The sequence below is a fragment of the Homo sapiens genome, chromosome 5 (genome assembly GCF_000001405.40).
Source record: "Homo sapiens chromosome 5, GRCh38.p14 Primary Assembly".
NCBI lineage: Eukaryota > Metazoa > Chordata > Mammalia > Primates > Hominidae > Homo > Homo sapiens.
In genome coordinates this window covers 53,197,555-53,217,093 of record NC_000005.10, presented here as the reverse complement: position 1 = coordinate 53,217,093, position 19,539 = coordinate 53,197,555, and the positions used below count along the sequence as shown (strand labels likewise).

General features: G+C 41.3%; 1 pseudogene, besides 1 other annotated feature; it reads right to left on the bottom strand.

The window, feature by feature from the left end:
- Positions 4,994 to 5,083: an enhancer, noted in NCBI's record as "active region_22545". NCBI's record gives its function as "activates an Ori minimal core promoter by ATAC-STARR-seq in GM12878 lymphoblastoid cells {active_cell/tissue: GM12878}" and the evidence as "EXISTENCE:reporter gene assay evidence [ECO:0000049][PMID:35858748]".
- On the bottom strand, positions 9,890 to 10,553 carry RPL13AP13 (ribosomal protein L13a pseudogene 13; annotated as a pseudogene).

Below are 19,539 nucleotides of genomic sequence, written 5' to 3'. Positions count from 1 at the left end.
ATATGGATTTTGCATTATATGTCATTACGTTAGAAATGTAACTACTTCCTTTCCAATTGGTCTATCCAAGGGATCCACAAGTAATCCCACTACAACAGGAAGACATTTTACTTTAAAAAAAAAAAAAGCTTACCAAACAGGTAAATCTTTAGGGAGTTTACACTAAATAGTGAAATTTTGTGATTTAAAATATGGTAACATTCACAAAGATTGATTTGCATATACCTTAAGAAACATGTGACCAAAAAGTCACCAGTATATTATAATCAGTATTCTGAAAGGATTTGTGAACTACAGCTCCAGGGCAACATCTGGCCTGCAAAGGCACTTGGTGTGGATTTCAGGATATTTTGTAAGCCAAAAAACTTTATAAAAATTCTGAGTTGATGTCTTCTTTAACAAAATTGAAAGACCTGGCAATACTACCTCTATTTTATTCCAAGAAAAGAGTGGGCTGGAGGTAAAAAGTGGCTGCTGCTTTTGGATGGGGCAGTCAATTTCTACTTTGCCACAGTCCCTGACATTCCCTGTTGATCACACACTTAGCCCATGTCATACATTTACACCAACTCCCTGATTGTTTAGGCATTTGGGGTTATGACTTCTTCTGAAATTTTGAGGGCATCAGAACTTTTGGTGTCTTTTTTTATTCCACCTACCCATTTTTCTTTTCTTTTTTCCCTCCCTTCCTTCTTTCCTCTGTCCTTTTTTTTCTTTCCTTCCTTCTTTCCTGTCTTTCTTCTTCTTCTCTCTGTTTCTCTCTCTTTCTCTTGGTGCATACAAATTTGTGTTTGTCACCTAATTAGCTCAGATTCACAGAACAGTTGGATTTAGGCTCATTAACACCTTTATTCTTTTTTTTTTTTTTTATCAGTATAGCCTGACTTAGAGAATGTGGCCGTATAAAAACTCTCCAGCACAGCTTTTCATGCAGATCACAGAGATTACTTTCTTTCTCTATTATGTTAAAATACTTAAAAGACTTTTATTATACTGGTAGTTATAAAGGCATCTCCATTTCCTGTACCACTTTAACTAAATTAATCACAGTAATGAACTTCCCTGTCACATTATTCAAGCAGAAGCACAAAGTAGAGACACTGAGAGCTTGGGTGGCCAACAAGTTTGGGAATGTTGGATAATTTTCATAGGGAAGGATGAGCTGCCCCTTACTAAAACATACATTTTTTCATGTTGCCTGCTTCAGTGAGACAAAGGAAAACACACATAAATGTGAATCTAATATGAGTACATGTTCAGTTCTCCTGGAAGGAGACTCTGGGACTGAGTTTAGTGTGTAGGATATTTACCTAGGACTATGCTGGAATCAACACTTATCCAAGGGACACATCAAGCTGTGATGCAGGCCTGAGGAACTTTAAGCCAGAAAGATCCTTGAGAGATGTTCCTCATCAGGCCAAGATAGCCAAGACTTTATGCTCCTGTATCAAGAAGTTATTAGCTGTCAGCTGCTCCAGGAATGACATGACCTTGGTTGAGGAGACTTTTTTCAAATGAGACAGTCCCTGAAGGGAATGATAGCCCTAGTTGTCTTCTGGCAAACCCCTGTAGCTGAGGCAATGGTTCCTTCACTGAAGAGGCATCCAGGTGGTACATTTTAATCACCACCACGGATGATATAGAACATAGATGTCAGTTTCAAGCAATCATTTGATGAATCCATTTGTAGGTGGTTTATAACTGTATTAGTTCATTCTCATGCTGCTATAAAGAACTGCCCAAGTCTGGGTAGTTTATAAAGGAAAGAGGTTTAATTGACTTATAGTTCCACATTGCTGTGGAGGCCTCATAAAACTTACAGTAATGAAGGCACGTCTTCACAGGGCAGCAGGAGAGAGAATGAGTGCAAGCAGGGGAAATGCTGGATGCTTATAAAATCACCAGATCTCATGAGACTCACTCATTATCACAAAAACAGCATGGGGAAACTGCCCCTATGATCCATTTACCTCCACCTGGTCCTGCCCTTGACATGCGGAGATTATCACAGTGACATTTGGGTGTGAACACAGAGCCAAACCATATCAGTGAATATAGTAGGTATTTAGGTGGAATGGACTTTATTTTATTTTCAATCACTTGATGACTGAATTTTAAGTCTCTCTCTTTCTTTCTCTCTTGCTTTTAAGCTGGGAGTAAAACGTGCAAACCAGTACAAACTGGGATGCCAACAACATACATGTCAACTCTTTTGTAAAATCATAATTAGCCAGTCTAGGAATCCTATCACCTAAATACCAATACTCATGTTAAAGCTGGTGAGAAAAGCAAAATAAAGCCAATAAAAGCTACTCTGGAGGCTGGGTGCAATGGCACATGCCTGTAATCCCAGCACTTTGGGAGGCTGAGGTAGGCAGGCTTGAGGTCAATATTTTGAAACTAGTCTGGCCAACGTGGTAGAACCCCATCTCTACTAAAAATAGAAGAATTAGTTGGACCGGGCACAGTGGCTCATGCTTGTAATCCCAACACTTTGGGAGGCTGAGGCGGGTGGATCACTTGAGCCCAGGAGTTCGACACCAGCTGAGCAACACGGCAAAATCCTGTCTCTACCAAAAATACAAAAATTAGCCTGGCGTGGTGGCCTGTGCCTGTAATCCTAGCTACTCAGGAGGCTGAGGCAGGAGGATCGCTTGAACTTGGAAGACAGAGGTTGCAGTAAGCTGAGATCGCGCCACTGCACTCCAGCCTGGATGACAGAGAGAGACCTGTCTCAAAAAAAAAAAAAAATTAGTTGGGCGCGACAGCAGGTGCCTATAATCCCAGCTACTTGTGAGGCTGAGGCAGGAGAATTGCTTAAACCTGGGAGGCAGAGGTTGTAGTGAGCCAAGATCGCACCACTGCACTCCAGCCAGGGTGACAGAGCCAGACTCCGTCTCAACAAACAAACAAACAAACAAACAAACAAACAAAAAGCTACTCTGGAAACATTCCTGATCCCCCTCTCAGGAAGCACAAGCTATTCAGGATCTGTCACAAGGGTGCTTTAGGTCTTCAGGAACTGAGCTTTTGTGAGTTTGAGTGATAGGACAGGCAACGGCTCTCTTGGATCTGTACTCACTGAAGCACAAAGACTCCATGAGCTGGCTGGGTGATGACTACTTATTTCTTTGATCTCTTTTATCTCTTTCTCCCTCTTCTCATTCTCTGAGATCCTCCCAAGAACATGTCCCAGTATTGCTGTTGCATTTTGGATAACTCAAACAATAATTCATAAATTCTGATTTATATGATCTCCAGTATATATTTTTTAATTTCCTTAGGGAATCCCAAACAAAATAATGTTTTTCCTTTCTGTGCTTCATTTGAAATGATCTACATAGAAAAGTCTTCAATAGTAATCCTTATGTTTTGAAAACTAAGACATTGTTTTGACTTCAAAATAATCTAAATCTTTGCTTCATAATTACACTAGTATCTTTGCAAATGTAGAATCTTTTATTAAGGCTTTTCCTTATTTTATTAACCCTAAATATGTATTCATGAATAAAAATTATGTTACACTTTGAAGTACTATTAAGCTTTCTAAAATTTTATTTCAAGCATATTTTGAACATTAGTATGCTCAAAATATACGTAGTCACTTAAAATAGCTCCCAACACAGATTTATAATCAAATTCAAGACTAACCGAAGCAAAATAAGAACTTGGAATACAAACTTAAGTCAGATTATCTTTCTGCAGCAAGTTTGCTCGGAATTATTTTCTTCACTTTACTTTGAGGATGAAGCTCTGATTTTTCTTTGTTTTTTTGTCTTGCCCAAATTCTTATCTAAGGGGTCTGGGGAGTCATGCCCTACAAACCATAAATTCTCATCAGATGGGCTTTATTTGACCCTGTTTATCATGATTTACCTTCCAACCTATCTCTGGCATAACAAGAAAGAAATCAAAATGTTTTACCCCATAATATATTTCCTTACCATACCTTGAATTTGCCCTGCAAACCCTTTTGTGGGAAAAATCCACATTCTCTAGAGAATCCCATTTCCTCTTTGTTTTCCTTCCTTCCTTTCCATATCCAGGGGATAATCAACTTAGAGTCAGGTACCCTTTTAAGTCAGATAAATATTTTACAACCTTCTGTCGCGAAGTCTGCTGTCTGAGAGCTTCCTCGGCACAATAAAACTTATTCCCCACAATCCTTGATCTTAACCTGAATGCTTCCTTTCTATTGATTTCAGATCTTCAGATAAACTCAACCAATTGTCAACCAGAACATGTTTAAATTTACCTATAGCCTGGAAGCCCCTGCTTTGAGTTGTCCCACCTTTCTGAACCAAACCAATGTATTTCTTAATTGTATTTGATTGATGTCTCATGCCTCCCTAAAATATAGAAAACCAAGTTCTACCCCAATCACCTTGGGCACATGTTCTCAGGACCTCCTGAGAGCTGTGTCATGGGCCATGGTCACTGATATTTGGTTCAGAATAAATCTCTTAAAATATCTTACAGAGTTCGACTCTTTACATCAACAATAACTTGGCGCCCAAACACATGGGACCTCAGAGAAGATGCAGGACTCCGAAGGAGTTGCCCAAACTTGGAGCTAAGGTACCAGCGGGGCCCATTAAAGCCTGTCCAACTTAGAGCTTCTCCTCTGGTGGAACTGGTAAGTCCTGAGCCCTGGACCCCCCTGGTTGATAGTCAGTCTTTGATTTATTCTGAGCTGGTTTTCTCCTAGGAAATTGTTTAAGGATCATAGTTGAGTTTGGAGATGCATTCTAAAGGGAATTCTATATTGCTTTTTATCCTAAAATTTATCTTGATTTGGTTTTTCTGTGTGCATTTTCATGAGGAATGGAACTGTTGTTTTCACAGATAAATGAGAGACTAAGTTTTTCAGCTCCAAAGAGAAAGGGCATTTGTTCCTCCCGGCCGAAAGGTGCCCCTGAGTGACCAGGGGCCTCCTGGGAGGGTCTGGGGGGTTGACCTCCCATGATGTGCAGCAGCCCTGCAGGGAAATCCCCAACAAGACTTAATTTTAAAATGGCTCATCCAGGAAATGCATATAAGGGCTGATCACCCAGAGTTTTGAGCCCTCTCATAGGTCATAGACCTCTGGAGAGACAAACTGAGACATGTAAGAGGGTGGAAATGACTCAGTGGTGACACACTGTGGAGTGCTGTCCACAAGGAGCATGCATCCATCCACCACACAATAACCCTAGGCTACAGCTCAGTTCCTCCTTTTAAGAAAAAAAAAAAAAGCGGGAAAAGATTTAATAAGTAGAAAACAAGGAGAATAACCCACTTTTGGGCACTTCATAGGTTTTATGGCACCTCTACTTGACAAAGTTTATGTAAAATGGAACTAATACAGTCTTTGTGCACATTTACATTAGGGAGAAAAGAATCCTAGGGTAGACCTACAAACTATAGAGTACCTAGGTTCTGTTTTCTCTTCTGCCTGCTGTAAGTCTGCTGTAACTTTTCTACTGAGATAAAAACCACTGTTCAGATCTAACAATGTTTTTGCAAGTTGGCAAAGTTGTATTTATCTCATGGCTAAAGTACTGAAGTAATAGCTATGGGAGCTTTGTATTTGTGCGTGTATATATTTAAAGGCCTTTATAATAGACTTCTGTAATTTTATGTTCAATTGGCAACTGAATCCGTTTTAATTTCCCTCTAGCACACCAGACTAATTTTGCTATCTCTTGTTCACCTGAGTTGCCTTTAATATGCAAATTTAAGGCCATTTAGCTGACAACTGCTTAGGGTTAGATTTTTAAAAATAGGAAAAAAAGGTCTTTATGAACCTATAGGATATGCTTCTATCAGTATGCCTAATACATCAACATATTTATGTGTGTGTACACAATATTTTCACTAGTAAAAATATATGAAGAGCTCTAATTAACTGGCTATAAAAAATGCTTAAATCAGATGCTAAAAAAAAGAGACTAGTCAAATGCTTTTCCAAGTTCACATGACTTAAGTAAAATCTTTACTAAATAAGTCAGCTTTGAAATTATTGGTAAAATAATATCAGCAATATCTTTAGAATTGTAAACATTTTGTTTACATATATTAAGCAAGTAGTTTCATGTTTATTCCTGCAGAATACTGTATGATTTGCCATAAGGGTTATAAACTATGAAACCCAGCCCAAGACAGAATGATCTTTGCTTGTACATGCTTATGAAATATTGTTGGCTTAAATGAAAATAGCTAAATATTGAGTTGTTGGTATAAATACCCTTAAAAGTAACCATAAGTTTTATTACTTAAGTAAATACATAAAATTCACAGCTATAAAAATGGTTAATAGAAAAATAACTTTGAATATTGGCTATTATAGTTTTTTTTGTAAATAATCTAGGTAAACTATTAAATTAATCAGGTAAATGTAATGGAATAAATGCTTGTAAACAAACTTGTCATAATTTAGGATCTAAGGTTATTAATTGATATTAAGTATCTGGGCAATTTCCAATTTAAGAATTACAGGAAAACTTTTTTTTAAATGTTCTTATTAAAGGTAAAATATCTTTGTCTAATTCAAAGCTTATTTAAGGGTTATGTATGAAGTAAGGTAAAGGAATCAGGAAATAAGAGCTGTCAAGAAAGATATAAAGAGGCATGTTTAGTTAAAAAAAGAGGTGAAAAAGGAAAGTAATTTTATATAAGAAAGAACCTTGTGTGGTGAATTTTTGCCCTAAAATAAAATAACTGGATTGTTCAAGAAAGAGAGATATTTAGGGTAAAACAAAAAGTCTAACTTCTGTGAATGGTCTGTGTAAGTCATAATAAGGTTAGTAAAATGAATTTTTAAGGGGTTGTATATTTCAGTTGGCTATAATTAAAAGGAAATCATAATAATCTTTATAGAGATGGGTCTTTAATATTTAAAAAATGCACAAATACAAAACTAAATAATTGATAAAAACAAGATTTTATTACAAATATTGACTTATTTGTAATGCAAGATATTTTTAAATTTTTAAATTCTATAATCTGTTTTTTAACATTCTTCAGATTGATATCTTAAAAGTGCCAAGCTTTCTCTTTTGAAAAGGCCTTGAATGATGGCTCTCTCCTTCACCTTTTGTTGGCTCCTGTAACTTTTACTAATTATCTGCAGTAAGGGAGAAAAATTGTTTCTTAAAACAGGCAAATAATGTATCTTTTGAACATGCCTTTTATTCTGCATGCCTGTTATATCTCTATCTTTATATGTGTCATGTAGAGGTGATATTTCACTACCAAACTGCATGAAAAAGTTCTAATCACTTAACTTACAAAAATGTAAATGCTTACCAGATTAGTAAAAGCTAGCTCAGATCTCTTTTTATTTACATAACTTTGGTAATATTTGGTAAAAATTAATTTGGTAAATTTAATCTCCAAATTGTCCAGTAGTTTAAAAACCTTAAAGTCATGTTTAAATGCTTGGGTTTTTTTCCACAGAAATTTGGGTTACTAAAAAGTTAAAATAGTAAAAGCATGAAATGTGCCTTTGTTAGAATTTTATAAACACAAGGATGTCAATTCTCAAAAAATATGTTACTTTTTGGTTAAGAAACTATTTAAGAGTTGCTTTATAAATGAAGCAAAATTATACAGCTAAAATGAAGAAAGTTATACAGATAAAATGAAATAAATTTAAAAAAACAAAAGCCAGGGCATCAACAGTTAACTCTGAGCCCTGTGGTTACCAAGAAAATAGTTGATATGGGAGAACAGTAAAACCAAGTAACCATTAAAAACCAGAGGGTGTAATGCAAAGGAATTTTTCCAGTTTGTAGATTGGTATCATTCAGTTTCTTTAAAAATGGTGGATTATAAAAATAACCACTTTAAGGACCAAATTTTTAATTTTAAATGCTAGAGAATTTAGGAGCTTGCTTGGATTAATGCAGGACCCACAGCTCATTACTGAACGAATACTGAGTATATGTGACCCAAATGCACAGGGTGTTATTCCTGAGAAAGTAATCAGCCTAGTGGACCAGATAATGCCATTATAAGGTCTGTTGGCCTTGAGAAGGGGACTGCCCAACTTTCCCTATAAAATACCAAGTGAAATACCCCAGATGAAGCAGTTAATATGTTTCATATGCAAGCCATGTGGGACTAGATTTATGATAACTGGGATATCCTCCCACCAAATATGTTCATTACCTGGGTCATGGTAAATTTGGGGGTTAAGAGGGCTCCTTTTACATGGGTGCCCCTCCCACAGAATCATAGGTCTGTTTAAGAAGCCTTATCAAGTCTGCTGTCCCTCATAAGTCTTACAGATGCAACTCCCTGACGGGAACCCAAACCCTTTTCACCAGACAAGGTAAAATAGTTTAGGGCAAAAAAAGGCTTCCTGGGACCAGAACAGAAAAACATAAAGGTTAATAGAATTATAAAATGTAATGTTTAAACACGCTTTATGTAAGGTAGTTGTAACCCCGTTTACCTAAATGTCTTATGAAAATGGGTACTATATCTAACTGGGGGATGTTTTCCCCTTTCTAGTACTACAAAACTGAAGACATGTCAACCTGCTCATGTAAATCCTCCACTGCATAGCCTTTTGTGTAATGCATTTATCAGGGCTGATGGCAAAAACTATGAGTACTTTTCAATAACACCGACTGAGCTAGAGAAGTTCTACTTGATGAGGCATTTACTGCCTTGCTGTGAAATATTAACTGAAGCTACCCCTATACTAATGGAAAAAATGTTTCCCAAAGAGTTTCATGATAAAATAAAAAATGGTTTACATACATCTTGCTACCTAATAAGCAGAGAGCCTTTTTCCTAGGACTAATTGTGAGAAGCTGCTAAACTCTATTTGTCTATCTGTTTGGTTTGTAAATAACATTTCCAAGGTAAACAAACATCTTGTCTTAAAAGCTGCTGCCCTGGTTAAAGGAGGATCAGGAAAATCTTTTTCTTTTAAGTTGTTTGGGTAAAGTATGTTTTTGTAAGCAAATTTACCTTTCTGAGTTCTCCAAAATATAGATTGTAATTTTATAACAGTATAGTTGTCTGCATGAGTTCAATAATAGTTAAAAAATAATTGTTTTAAGGGAAGAACATGACACTTAATACTAGATTTCAGCCCTAACATTTTAAGTGCAGATTAAATAATTATTTCTTGGCTACAATAATCCTCTAGAAGGTACCAGATTATAATTTTTCTTTATATTTTTAGTTGGTGCTCTAATGGAATAGGTTTCTTTTTCTATTCTAACATATGAATTACTCTTATAACTGTCAAACTATAAATGTTATTTATCTCTCCTTGTTTTACTTCCAAGGAAACCAAAATCATGGTATTCTGAAGATCAGAGATATGAATCTCCCTCATTTGGCATCCCCTGGCCCTGGATCTGTTTCACTGCTAATATCCTGCAGCCAAAACTATACAAGCTGCCTCACTCTAGGCCCAGGTACTATCGTGGAAGAGGTGGGTGCATAAAATTGTAAGAGCCATTTTGAAGGATAAAATTAGGTCAAGATCAAACCCTCCAAATCCAAAAGATGGTAAAAAATGCCTAAACAGCTGGTAAAACAAGTTTAGTTGCCTTCTAAATTATTATGTGTCACTTTTGCATCCACCCCAACCATAAACATTTTCTGCTTACTATAAAATTAAAGGAAAATATTTCCTAACAGGATAAAATACCTTGTAACAAAGCCTCCTGGGTATAATACTCCCAATTATGAGTTGTGGAGATAAATCTATCTATCTATATTTTTATTTTTCAGAACAATGTTTATGTTTTGTATAGTTAATTGCTATAAGTCTGTAACAGAAATGAAGCTTACAGTAGCTCAACACATAAAAGTTAAAAATAAGTCAGTCTTGCAACTTTGCCTTTTGGTTTTATCGTTGGCTTTATTTATTGAGTTATTTATTTTTTGAGGGATAAACAGTCTTTATTGGGCTCAGAGCAGGAGTATGTGGGTCTTGAGTACCTCTGTGTATTTGTCAATTTTCTTCTCCACTTTCTTTTCAGCCTGTTTCCATAGCCTCATGAGCTGTTTCTTTCTCCGGTAGTGGATCTTGGCCTTCTCCTTACTCTTCTCTTCCAGGGTGGCTGTAACTGTCTGGCACTTCCAGCCAACCTCATGAGCCAGGTGCCCCAGGTAGACAAACTTTCTTGTAAGCTTCAGACGCATGACCTTGAGGGCAGCAGGAATCATCATCTGCTTTTTCTTGTCATAGGGCGGTGGGGTGCCGTCAAACACCTTGAGGCAGTCCAGGGAGGCCTGGCCTCCTTGGTCTTGTGAGGCAGCATGCCTCGCAATCCGCTGGAAGATGCAGCTGGGGGCCAGGAAGTGGTGGGGGCCAGGAAGTGGTAAGTGCTTCGGGAAGGGTTGCTGTTCATCCCTTTGAGGAGGAAGGCCAGGTACTTCAACTTGTTTCTATAGACATTGCCAGAAATGTTAATGCCCCTGCAGCGTATGACCCCCACCTTCTAGCCTGCTTAGCCACCATGGCAGTCAGGAAGCCCGGGAGATGGCTTCGACCATCAAGCTCCAGGACCTGCCCCTCCACCATCTTCAGCAGCCACCTGGGAAAGGAGTTCCCTGTTTTTAGATGAAACAGGGAAGGGTATGGGGCCCCCTCACCCCTGAGGTACATCTGCCAGATTTCCCTGGAACCCTGTTTGAAAACCACAGATCAAGTTCAATCCTCATTGTCCATATGAGGAAATGGAAGCCAAAAGAATAGAAAGGACCAAGACAACCTTGTGCAGAGGGAGCAGCAGGATTAGGACTTCACCCGCCTAATTCTTGGGGTTCTGCTCTTTCCTGCTCCCTACTCTGCTATGAAGAACAGAGCCAGGGTGTGAAGTTACAGGGGCTGTGCAGGGTCTGGCCCAGGGCTGTAGGGGACCATTTGCCACAAGAAGCCAGTAGCCAGGTGTGGTGGCTCACACCTTTAATCCCAGCACTTTGGGAGGCCAAAGAAGGTGGAAGGCTTGAGCCCAGGAGTTCCAGACCTGCCTGAACAACGTGGCAAAACCCTGTCCCTACAAAAAACACAAAAACAATTAGCCAAGTATGGTGGCACATGCCTGCAGTCCCAGCCACTTGGGAGGCTGAGGTAGGCTGTAATGGGCCATGATTGCACCACTGCAATCGGGCAGCATAGGAATGAAGTATACTTGCCAATCTTGCCCGGGTACCTGGCCCCAGGCTTGGTGGGTAGGAAAAGGCAGTGGCTGGAGGGAGCCCTTGGGTGACACTCAGTTGGCAGATAGAGCAGGACTGGGTAATTTCTCGAACATGGCTGGAAAGGTGAGGACAAGTGAGAAAAGGGTGAAGTTGCAAGAGAGGTTTGTAGCCAACATGGAAAGAGTTGTGGAGGCTTTGGAGGTGAGGAAGACTTTGAGAGTGAGGAAGAACGAAGTGCCTTCCTTGACACCATGGTCCTTGCTTTTGAAGGTTTTGGGCTCAGAAGTCCTGCTTTTCTTCTGAGGAATAGAGAGGAAAGAACAAGGACAGGGACAGAAACTGGCCTTGCATGGGTTGTAGGGCTACTTGTTTGGCTACCTGATCTGCTAGCGCATTTCCAGCCGATATAGGATTGTCTGGGGTTTGGTGGCCCCTGCAATGAATGATGGCAACTTTCTGTGGGTGCCTGGCAGCTTGAAGGAGTTTATGACAGGAGTGTTTTTTGCAGTTAGAAAACCCCGTTCTTCCCAGATGGACAAGTGTGAGTGTACTATGTGGAACACATAATGAGAATTTCAATATATGCTGATCTGTTGTCTGGCTGCTAGAGTGAGAGCTCAAGTGAGGGCGATGAGTTCAGCTTTTTGGGAGGCTGTGCCTAGGAGGAGCAGCTTGGCTTCAATAGTGCTGGGGGTGACACTGTAGCATAGCCAGCATGTCGGCATCCTTTATGTAGGAAGGAGCTGCCATCTACAAACCAAGTAAAGGAGGCACCTGGAAGGGATTGGTCTGTTAGGTTTGGAAAAGGTATAAGAAAGGTTTGAACAGTGTTCACACAGAAGCGTATAGGGTCTTGGGTGTTTGTAGCTTCAGGTAAGATTATGGCCGGGTTTAGATGGGAGCTGGTTAGCATGGTGATGTGGGGAGTTTCTACGAATAGAGCATACAGTTGGAGGAGCCATGGGGCAGAGATGAGACCTAGTACACTGCGGTAAGCTAGCACATGTCTTTGATGTTAAAGGTTGAATAAACAGTTAGGTTGGCATGAAGAGATAGTTTTAGGCTTTCAAGGCTGAGGACAGCAGCTGCTGCCAATGCTTGGAGGCAGGCAGGCCATCCAAGAACTGTGGCATTGAGCTGTTTGGAGAGGTGGGCAGCAATCTGGAGGGTGGATCCCTTAGATTGGGTTAGAATACCTAGTGCATCTCCATGCCATTCATCAGTATAAAGGGAGGAAGGTTTGGTGAGGTCTGGGAGAGTGAGGACAGGGGCTGAGGTGAGAGCCTTATGGAGTAGATGAAAAGGTTGGGTAATAGGCTGTGCAGGGTTTAAAGGTTCCTGGAGAGGGCCTTTAGCGGCTTGGTATAATGGTTTGGCAAGTAGAGTGAAGGAGGGGACCCAGAGCCTAAAATATCCTGCTAGTCCTAGAAAAGAGAGAATTTCTTGCTTAGTCTGCAGAGGCGGGAGGGACTGGAGGAGGGATATGTGGTCGGTTGTGAGCCCTCGGGTTCATGGGGTAAGTGCTAGGCCTAGATAGGTGACTAAAGGGGTGCATATTTGTGCCTTTTTAGGGGAGACCCAATACCTCCGCTCTGCCAGGAAATTTAAAAGAGAGATAGTATGGGTGTTGCAATCCTTTTGAGAGGGCTACAGAGGAGCAGGTCATCAACATATTGAAGGAGAGTGGACAGTTTTAGGGGTAAGGTATGGAGGTCACGAGCAAGGGCCTGTCCAAAAAAGTGGGGGCTGTTTCTAAAACCTTGAGGCAGTATGCACCAGGTGAGCTGACATGAAAGGTTGATGTGGGGTTTTCCCACATGAAGGCAAAGAGGTTTTGGGAATCAGGATGTAAAGGAATGTGAAAAAAGTATCCCTTAGGTTTAGAACAGAAAAATGGGTGGTATTGGAAGGAATTGCAGAAAGTAAAGTATATGGGTTAGGAACTACTGGACATACAGGGAGTACAGCTTGGTTAATGAGCCTGAGGTCCTGGACTAAAGGATAAGTTCCATTGGGCTTTTTTAACAGGTAGAACTGGTGTGTTAAAAGGGGACTTTGTTGGGTGGAGTAGGTGACTGGTGAGGAGGTGAGAAATGATAGGCTTTAGGCCTACAGGAACTGCATGGGGGATTGGATACTGCTTCTGTGATAGGAACTGGGTGGGCTCTTTTTATTTATTTATTTATTTTTGAGATGGAGTCTCGCTCTGTCGCCCAGGCTGGAGTGCAGTGGCATGATCTCGGCTCACTGCAAGCTCAGCCTCCCAGATTCACGTCATTCTCCTGCCTCAGTCTCCTGAGTAGCTGGGACTACAGGCGCCTGCCACACGCCAAGCTAATTTTTTGTAGTTTTTTAGTAGAGACAGGGTTTCACCATGTTAGCCAGGATGGTCTTGATCTCCTGACTTCGTGATCTGCCCGCCTCGCCTCCCAAAGTGCTAGGATTACAGGCTTGAGCCACCGTGCCCGGCCTGGGTGGGCTCTTTAAGGGTAATGCGGACGGGGCTGTGGTGTTCTGCCACTGAGGGTGTGGAAGTATCCCAAACAGCGGGGATAACTACAGATGGGGGATAAGGAAAGGTTGCGTGTTTTAGGGTGGGAGGTTAAAGGAGTAGAAGAAAGCTAGAAGTACCTGAGGGGTCTGGGTGGATGCGTTGGGTACTATGGGGAATGTGGAAGTGGAGAGTAGTGTGGAGTTTTGAAAGGCTGTCTCTGCCTAGGAGTGGAGTTGGGCATGACAACAGGACTGAAAAAGAGTGAGTGAAGGAAAAGGTGTGCAGGGAGCAGAAAAGTGGAGGGGGGTGCTCGGGGTTTGGAGACTGGTCCATCAATTCCCACAACAGAGACTTGGGAGGACTGGGTGGGTTCTGAAAAATTAGGTAAAGCAGAGTAGGTTGTTGTTGCCCCAGTATTAATTTAAAAAACATATAGGCCTACCTGCCACCAGCAGGATTACCCTTGGCTCAAATGAAGAGATGGCAGTTGCTGGGGCTTCCATTCTAGGGCACCGTCAGTCTTCAGCAGCAAGGCCGATGAGATCCGAGTAGGAGGTTTTGGCTGGCTCAGGAAGGGATGGGGGTGGTCCTTCTGGGGGCTGCTCACAGTCTGACTTCCAGTGGGGTCCTCTGCAGAGGGGGCACAGCCTGTTGGGCTTACCTGGGTTTGGGCATTGTCTGGACCAGTGGCCTTCATTGCTGCACTTGAAACAGGCACCAGGTGGAGATGGATTGCTAGGAGGCTTCCGTGTGGAGTTGCGGCCCCATGGCCTGCAGGGCCCCTGATAACGGAGGCAAGCGTTTGAAACTCTGCCTGTTTTTGCCTTTTACTTTCCACGTCACTATTGTTAAAGACTTTGAAGGCTAAATTAAGATGGTCTCATTGTGGGGTTTGAGGGCTGTCGTCAAGCTTCTGAAGCTGGCGCCGAATATCAGGGGTGGATTGGGAGATGAACCAAAGGTTTAAGATAGTGGTTCCTTCTGGGCTAGCTGGGTCTAGGTTGGTATGCTTTCTCATGGCTTCAGTTAAATGAGAGAGAAAAAGCGCTGGGTTTTTGACAGGACCTTGGGTGATTTCTGAAAGTTTTTTATAGTTGACTGCTTTATGGGCACCCTTTTTGAGTCCTGCAAGGAGACACACAATCATGTGGTCTCGATGGTGGCATCCAGGGGCTCCGTCTTGATAATCCCAGTGGGGGTCCTGGTTGGAGACTGGCTCTGCACCAGTAGGCTGGACAGGAGCTTGGTGATGAATTGTATCAGCATGTGCCTGAACTAGGGTCCAGATACAGTCCAGGTCTTCTGGGGTGAGGGTGGAAGAGAGGATAACATAGAGGTCATGCCAGGTTTGTTCATAAGACTGGGTAAGGTACTGAAGCTCTCTAATATAAGAGGTAGGTTCTTCTGGTAATGAACAAAGTCCTTTGTTAATTTGAGAGCGATCAGTGAGGGAGAAGGGAACATGAACTCTAACAATACTTTCAGTTCCTGCTACTTCCCAAAGGGGGCACTGTAGCACAGGCACTGAAGTAAGGGTGGGGCATGGGCCAAAGATGGTGCCTGAGTGAGTATGGGTGGGATAAAAGGAAGAATCTGGAGGTGGTTCCTGCTGAGGGTTTGAAGGGGGAAGTGGGGTTGAGTTAACAGGCAGTGGAGGATAGATAGGGGTGTAAGGTGGCGGGACGGGTTTACAAGCCTCAGGAGAGGGAGATGGGGGAGAAGAATGGGTACAGGCAATACTAGAATTGTCCTGAGGAGGGGATGGTGTAGAAAAAAGAAGTGAATACTGCTGGCTGGGAAGATGGTGACTGGGAAGATGGCAGCTGAGAATATGGCAGCTGAGAAGATAAAAGAGGAGGCTGGCGGGGGGCGGTTAAAGAAGATAGTTGAGAGGGAGAGGTAGGGGTTGGGAGGGGTGGGCAGCAGTCTGCTGGATCGATGGAGGAAAAAGAGGTAGGATTGGGAGGAGAAAGGCGATCTGGGCAGCGAGAATGGAGGAGAAAGATTTGAACAGGTGAGCAAGAATTGCAGAGGTCAGGTTGTGATCTGAGTGCAAAAAGGCCCGGACCTAAGGAATTTCTCCCCATTTCTCCAGTCGTCATCAATAATTGCTTAAATCAGTTAAAATTGTAAATTTGGATGTTCCATTTGTGGGCCATTTTGACCCATTATCCAATTCGTTTTGTGCCCAGACTGAATTGCATAAAAAGACAAGGCGCTTAAGGCAGATATCTTGCTTGAGGCCTAAGGTTTGTAGGTATTTTTATGAGGCAGCCTAGAGGGCTGTCCTTTGGAATGGAAGACTGGGAATTTCCCTCAAGGGAGGGTAGGTTTGGGAGAACAGGGAAAAGGAGACCCATCTTGGATGGCCAGAGGGAGACAATAAAAGGAGCAATTGTCCTTGCTGTCTTTTTCATTCCCGGAATGGGATCAAATGGCTTAGAGGTTTCTCCCTAAAACCAGATGATCAGTGAGTACCTGGCACATGCCCACGCCTTCTTGGACCAACGTTGGATTTTCGGACTGGAGAAACCAAAAGAGGCCATGTGGATTTTTTCCTGTTTACTGGGCTCCCAGGGAAACTTACCAGTAGGCGAGATCAGTGACCAATGTGCATGCACAGAGGCGACTGGAGGCTGAGGAGCTTCCTTTGTCTGGCTGCTGTGGCCTGCTCTCTGGGGTGGAGGAGTAGGTCCACAGGGGACATGGACTGGAGTCCCTCCTGGGTTTCAGCACCAGACACAGGGCTCTTGTATTGATTCAAACCCCAAGAGCACGCCAACAAACAACACAAGGCGGTGTGGAGGAACACACTGTTTTAATGAGTGCCTGGGTGCAGGTGGGCTGAGGCCTAAAATAGCGTCACCCCCAAATGAGGACGGGACAGGGGTTTTATAGTCTCCTGTAAACAGGAAGTGTCTCAGTCTGATGTAACTGCTACGCAGTACCCAGACGGCCTCTCTGTTAGTCTTCATGGAGTCTTCTGGCCAGCTCTCTTCCTGCTTTTGCTATCTTGCTTACACTGCTGGCGCAAGTCGTCTTGCACCTTGGGACTGGGCCTGAAAAGGGAAGAATTATTCATTCCCTTAAGCTTTCAGGCCCTGGGGAGAACCTTTCACTAGCTAGAAGGAGCCTGAAGGAAATCTGGTTTCAGCATAAACATGATGGTGGATTTCACAGTGCCACAGTATTGTCAACTTTTTTAAACTTTACTTAAAATAATAATTTTCAGAAGTAATGAATGCCTGTCTACATCCATTCTTTTCTGGCCTAGAACAATTAACTGGCTATAAATCTTTTGACTCTTAAGGCCCTCAGCCATAGGGAGTCCTGCCAAGACAAAAAATGACACTTTAGAATTATATGACCTTTCATGTGACAAAACCTTTTATCTCCCAAATACCAATATATGATGCAATACAAAAGTGGGGGTGGGGGAATAGATTTGTCTACTGTTAACAAGTCTATAACAATTTAGACACCAAGGACCAGGCATTTCTTGCATTTAATTTATACCCTCCTCAGGATGCTATGCCTATGGAGATAAACTGGCCAGAGAAGAGATTAAATTTATTAAATTCTAATTTAATGTTGGTTCCACAATTTCCAAATAAGATTTATCCTAGGGTTCAAATAACCCTTAATAAGGAAGGTAAACACATTGTGGGTCTGATCAAAGAATATGGTGATGCATGCAGGGTTTTCTTCCTGGCAATTGGGTTGTTAATTGCCCTCTGATTCTACCTATAACCTTGGATGCCCAAATCTTCACTATGTTTATGCTAGACATTTTCTTGTAAATGTTATGCCAAATAGAGCAGAAGGAAAGGCACAATTAAAGACCCAGGTCATGATAGCTCAGAAAATAGATCTGATCCGGGATTTTTTTTTTTTTTTTTTTTTTGTCTAAACCATAAGCCTGACTCCATTTTACCCCTTAAAGAATTGGCTAGTACATCAGGTCAGGCTGTGTCCTCCCCCCATTTTCAAATCGCTAATACTTAAAACTATTACCGTCAAATGAGAGGACTCCAGGAACAAGACTTCCTAGCACTGTGGGACCCTGCCGGATGGCCAAATCAGACAACTCTAGGAATGAGCCTTCCTAGCACCGTGGGACCTGCTGCTGTTTGTTGGCCTGCACATGCATTCTATGGAATGCCTTTTAGCCAAGAGTGGGGACTGAGGACTAAGCTCTGATTTTTTATTTTAATCTTGCCCAAATTCCTATCTGAGGGGTCTGGGGAGTCATGCCCTACAGACTGTAAATTCTTGTCAGATGGGTTTTATTTAACCCTGTACGTGGTGACTTACTTTCCAGTCTGACTCTGGCATAACAAGAAAGAAAATCAAAATGTTTTATCCCAAAATATATTTCCTTGCCATACTTTGAAATTGCCCTGCAAAGTCTCTTGTGGGAAAAACCCACATTCTATAGAGAATCCCATTTTCCCTTCGTTTTCCTTCCTTCCTTTCCAGATCAAGGAGATAATCAACTAAGAGCCAGGGACGCTTTTAGGTCAGATAAGAAATATTTTACAATCTGGTCTCTCTGAAGTCTGCTGTCTGAGAGCTTCCTCTGCACAATAAAACTTATTCTCCATAATCCTTGATCTGAACCTGAACACTTCCTTTCTACTGATTTCAGGTCTTCAGATAAACTCAACCAATTGTCAACCAGAACATGTTTAAATTTACCTATAGCCTGGAAGCCCCCACTTTTAGTTGTCCCACCTTTCTGAACCAAATCAATGTGTTTCTTAGATGTATTTGATTGATGTCTTATGCCTCCCTAAAATATATAAAATCAAGCTGTATGTTGACCAGCTTGGGCACATGTTTGCAAGACCTGAGAGCTATGTCATGGGCCACGGTCACTCATATTTGGCTAAGAATAAATCTCTTAAAATATCTTACAGAGTTTGACTCTTTTCATCGACAACTTCAACTGTGGACTTCACATGTCTGTTTTTAGTCCCAGTGCCTTTGATATTCAAGAAGAAATTGTCCTCAACAGGATAAAGTGTATTTCCTTAAAATATACAGTTGCATCAACTGATTTATTTGTATTTTTATTACCTCTGTAGTCCAGACTACTTATAAACATTCATTAATCAGCAGTTTGTCCTTAGTTCAAGTATTTCATAATTTAAAAACTGTAAATCGCTTTGGAGTGTACTCTCATCTCTGTGCTTACAACATTTTGAAATATTGACAATGTGTACTTAAAGATGGTTTTGATCATTATAAACTTAGTTCCATTCATCTAGTTACAATACATAAGCTATGATAGCCATAAATATATCAATACAAAGTGAATGAAAAGGCAATATTGGTTAAATATGAATAAAAATGCCAATGAAAACTTGCATGCCAGGAGGTCATTTGAGGGTGATTTTTACATAAATCTTTGGCTTGGGCTTGTTAGTGGGCTGGGTTGTAATGGAAGCATGTTGCCCAAGTGGCATGGAAAGCTCACGAGAGAATAGCTTAGGAATGGAGAGGTTAAATGACAAATAGAAATCATTCACCTATTGAGTTTTATCATGTACAAAAGGCAACATTTAAAAATATATGACTTTTATTACATTTGCTCAGTAGGAATAACTTATTTCTCCACTATGTTGCATTACTATATCTGCATCATCCTCTTTTTTTGCATGCAGGGAAATGCTGGAGAAGTAGCAGGAAAGAGGCCCTGGCCTCCATAATCACTGTTCATGGAGGGGAGAAAAGGAGAAAAAGAGGGAAGAGAAAATTCACAGATAACTATAATTTCTCTACCATATCACTGAGAAAATAGTTTATTTCCAGTAACATTGACATAAAAAGAGAATAAACTCATACATTCCTGATAACTTGGAATTGGCAAGAAAGCTTACACAGGCTTCTTC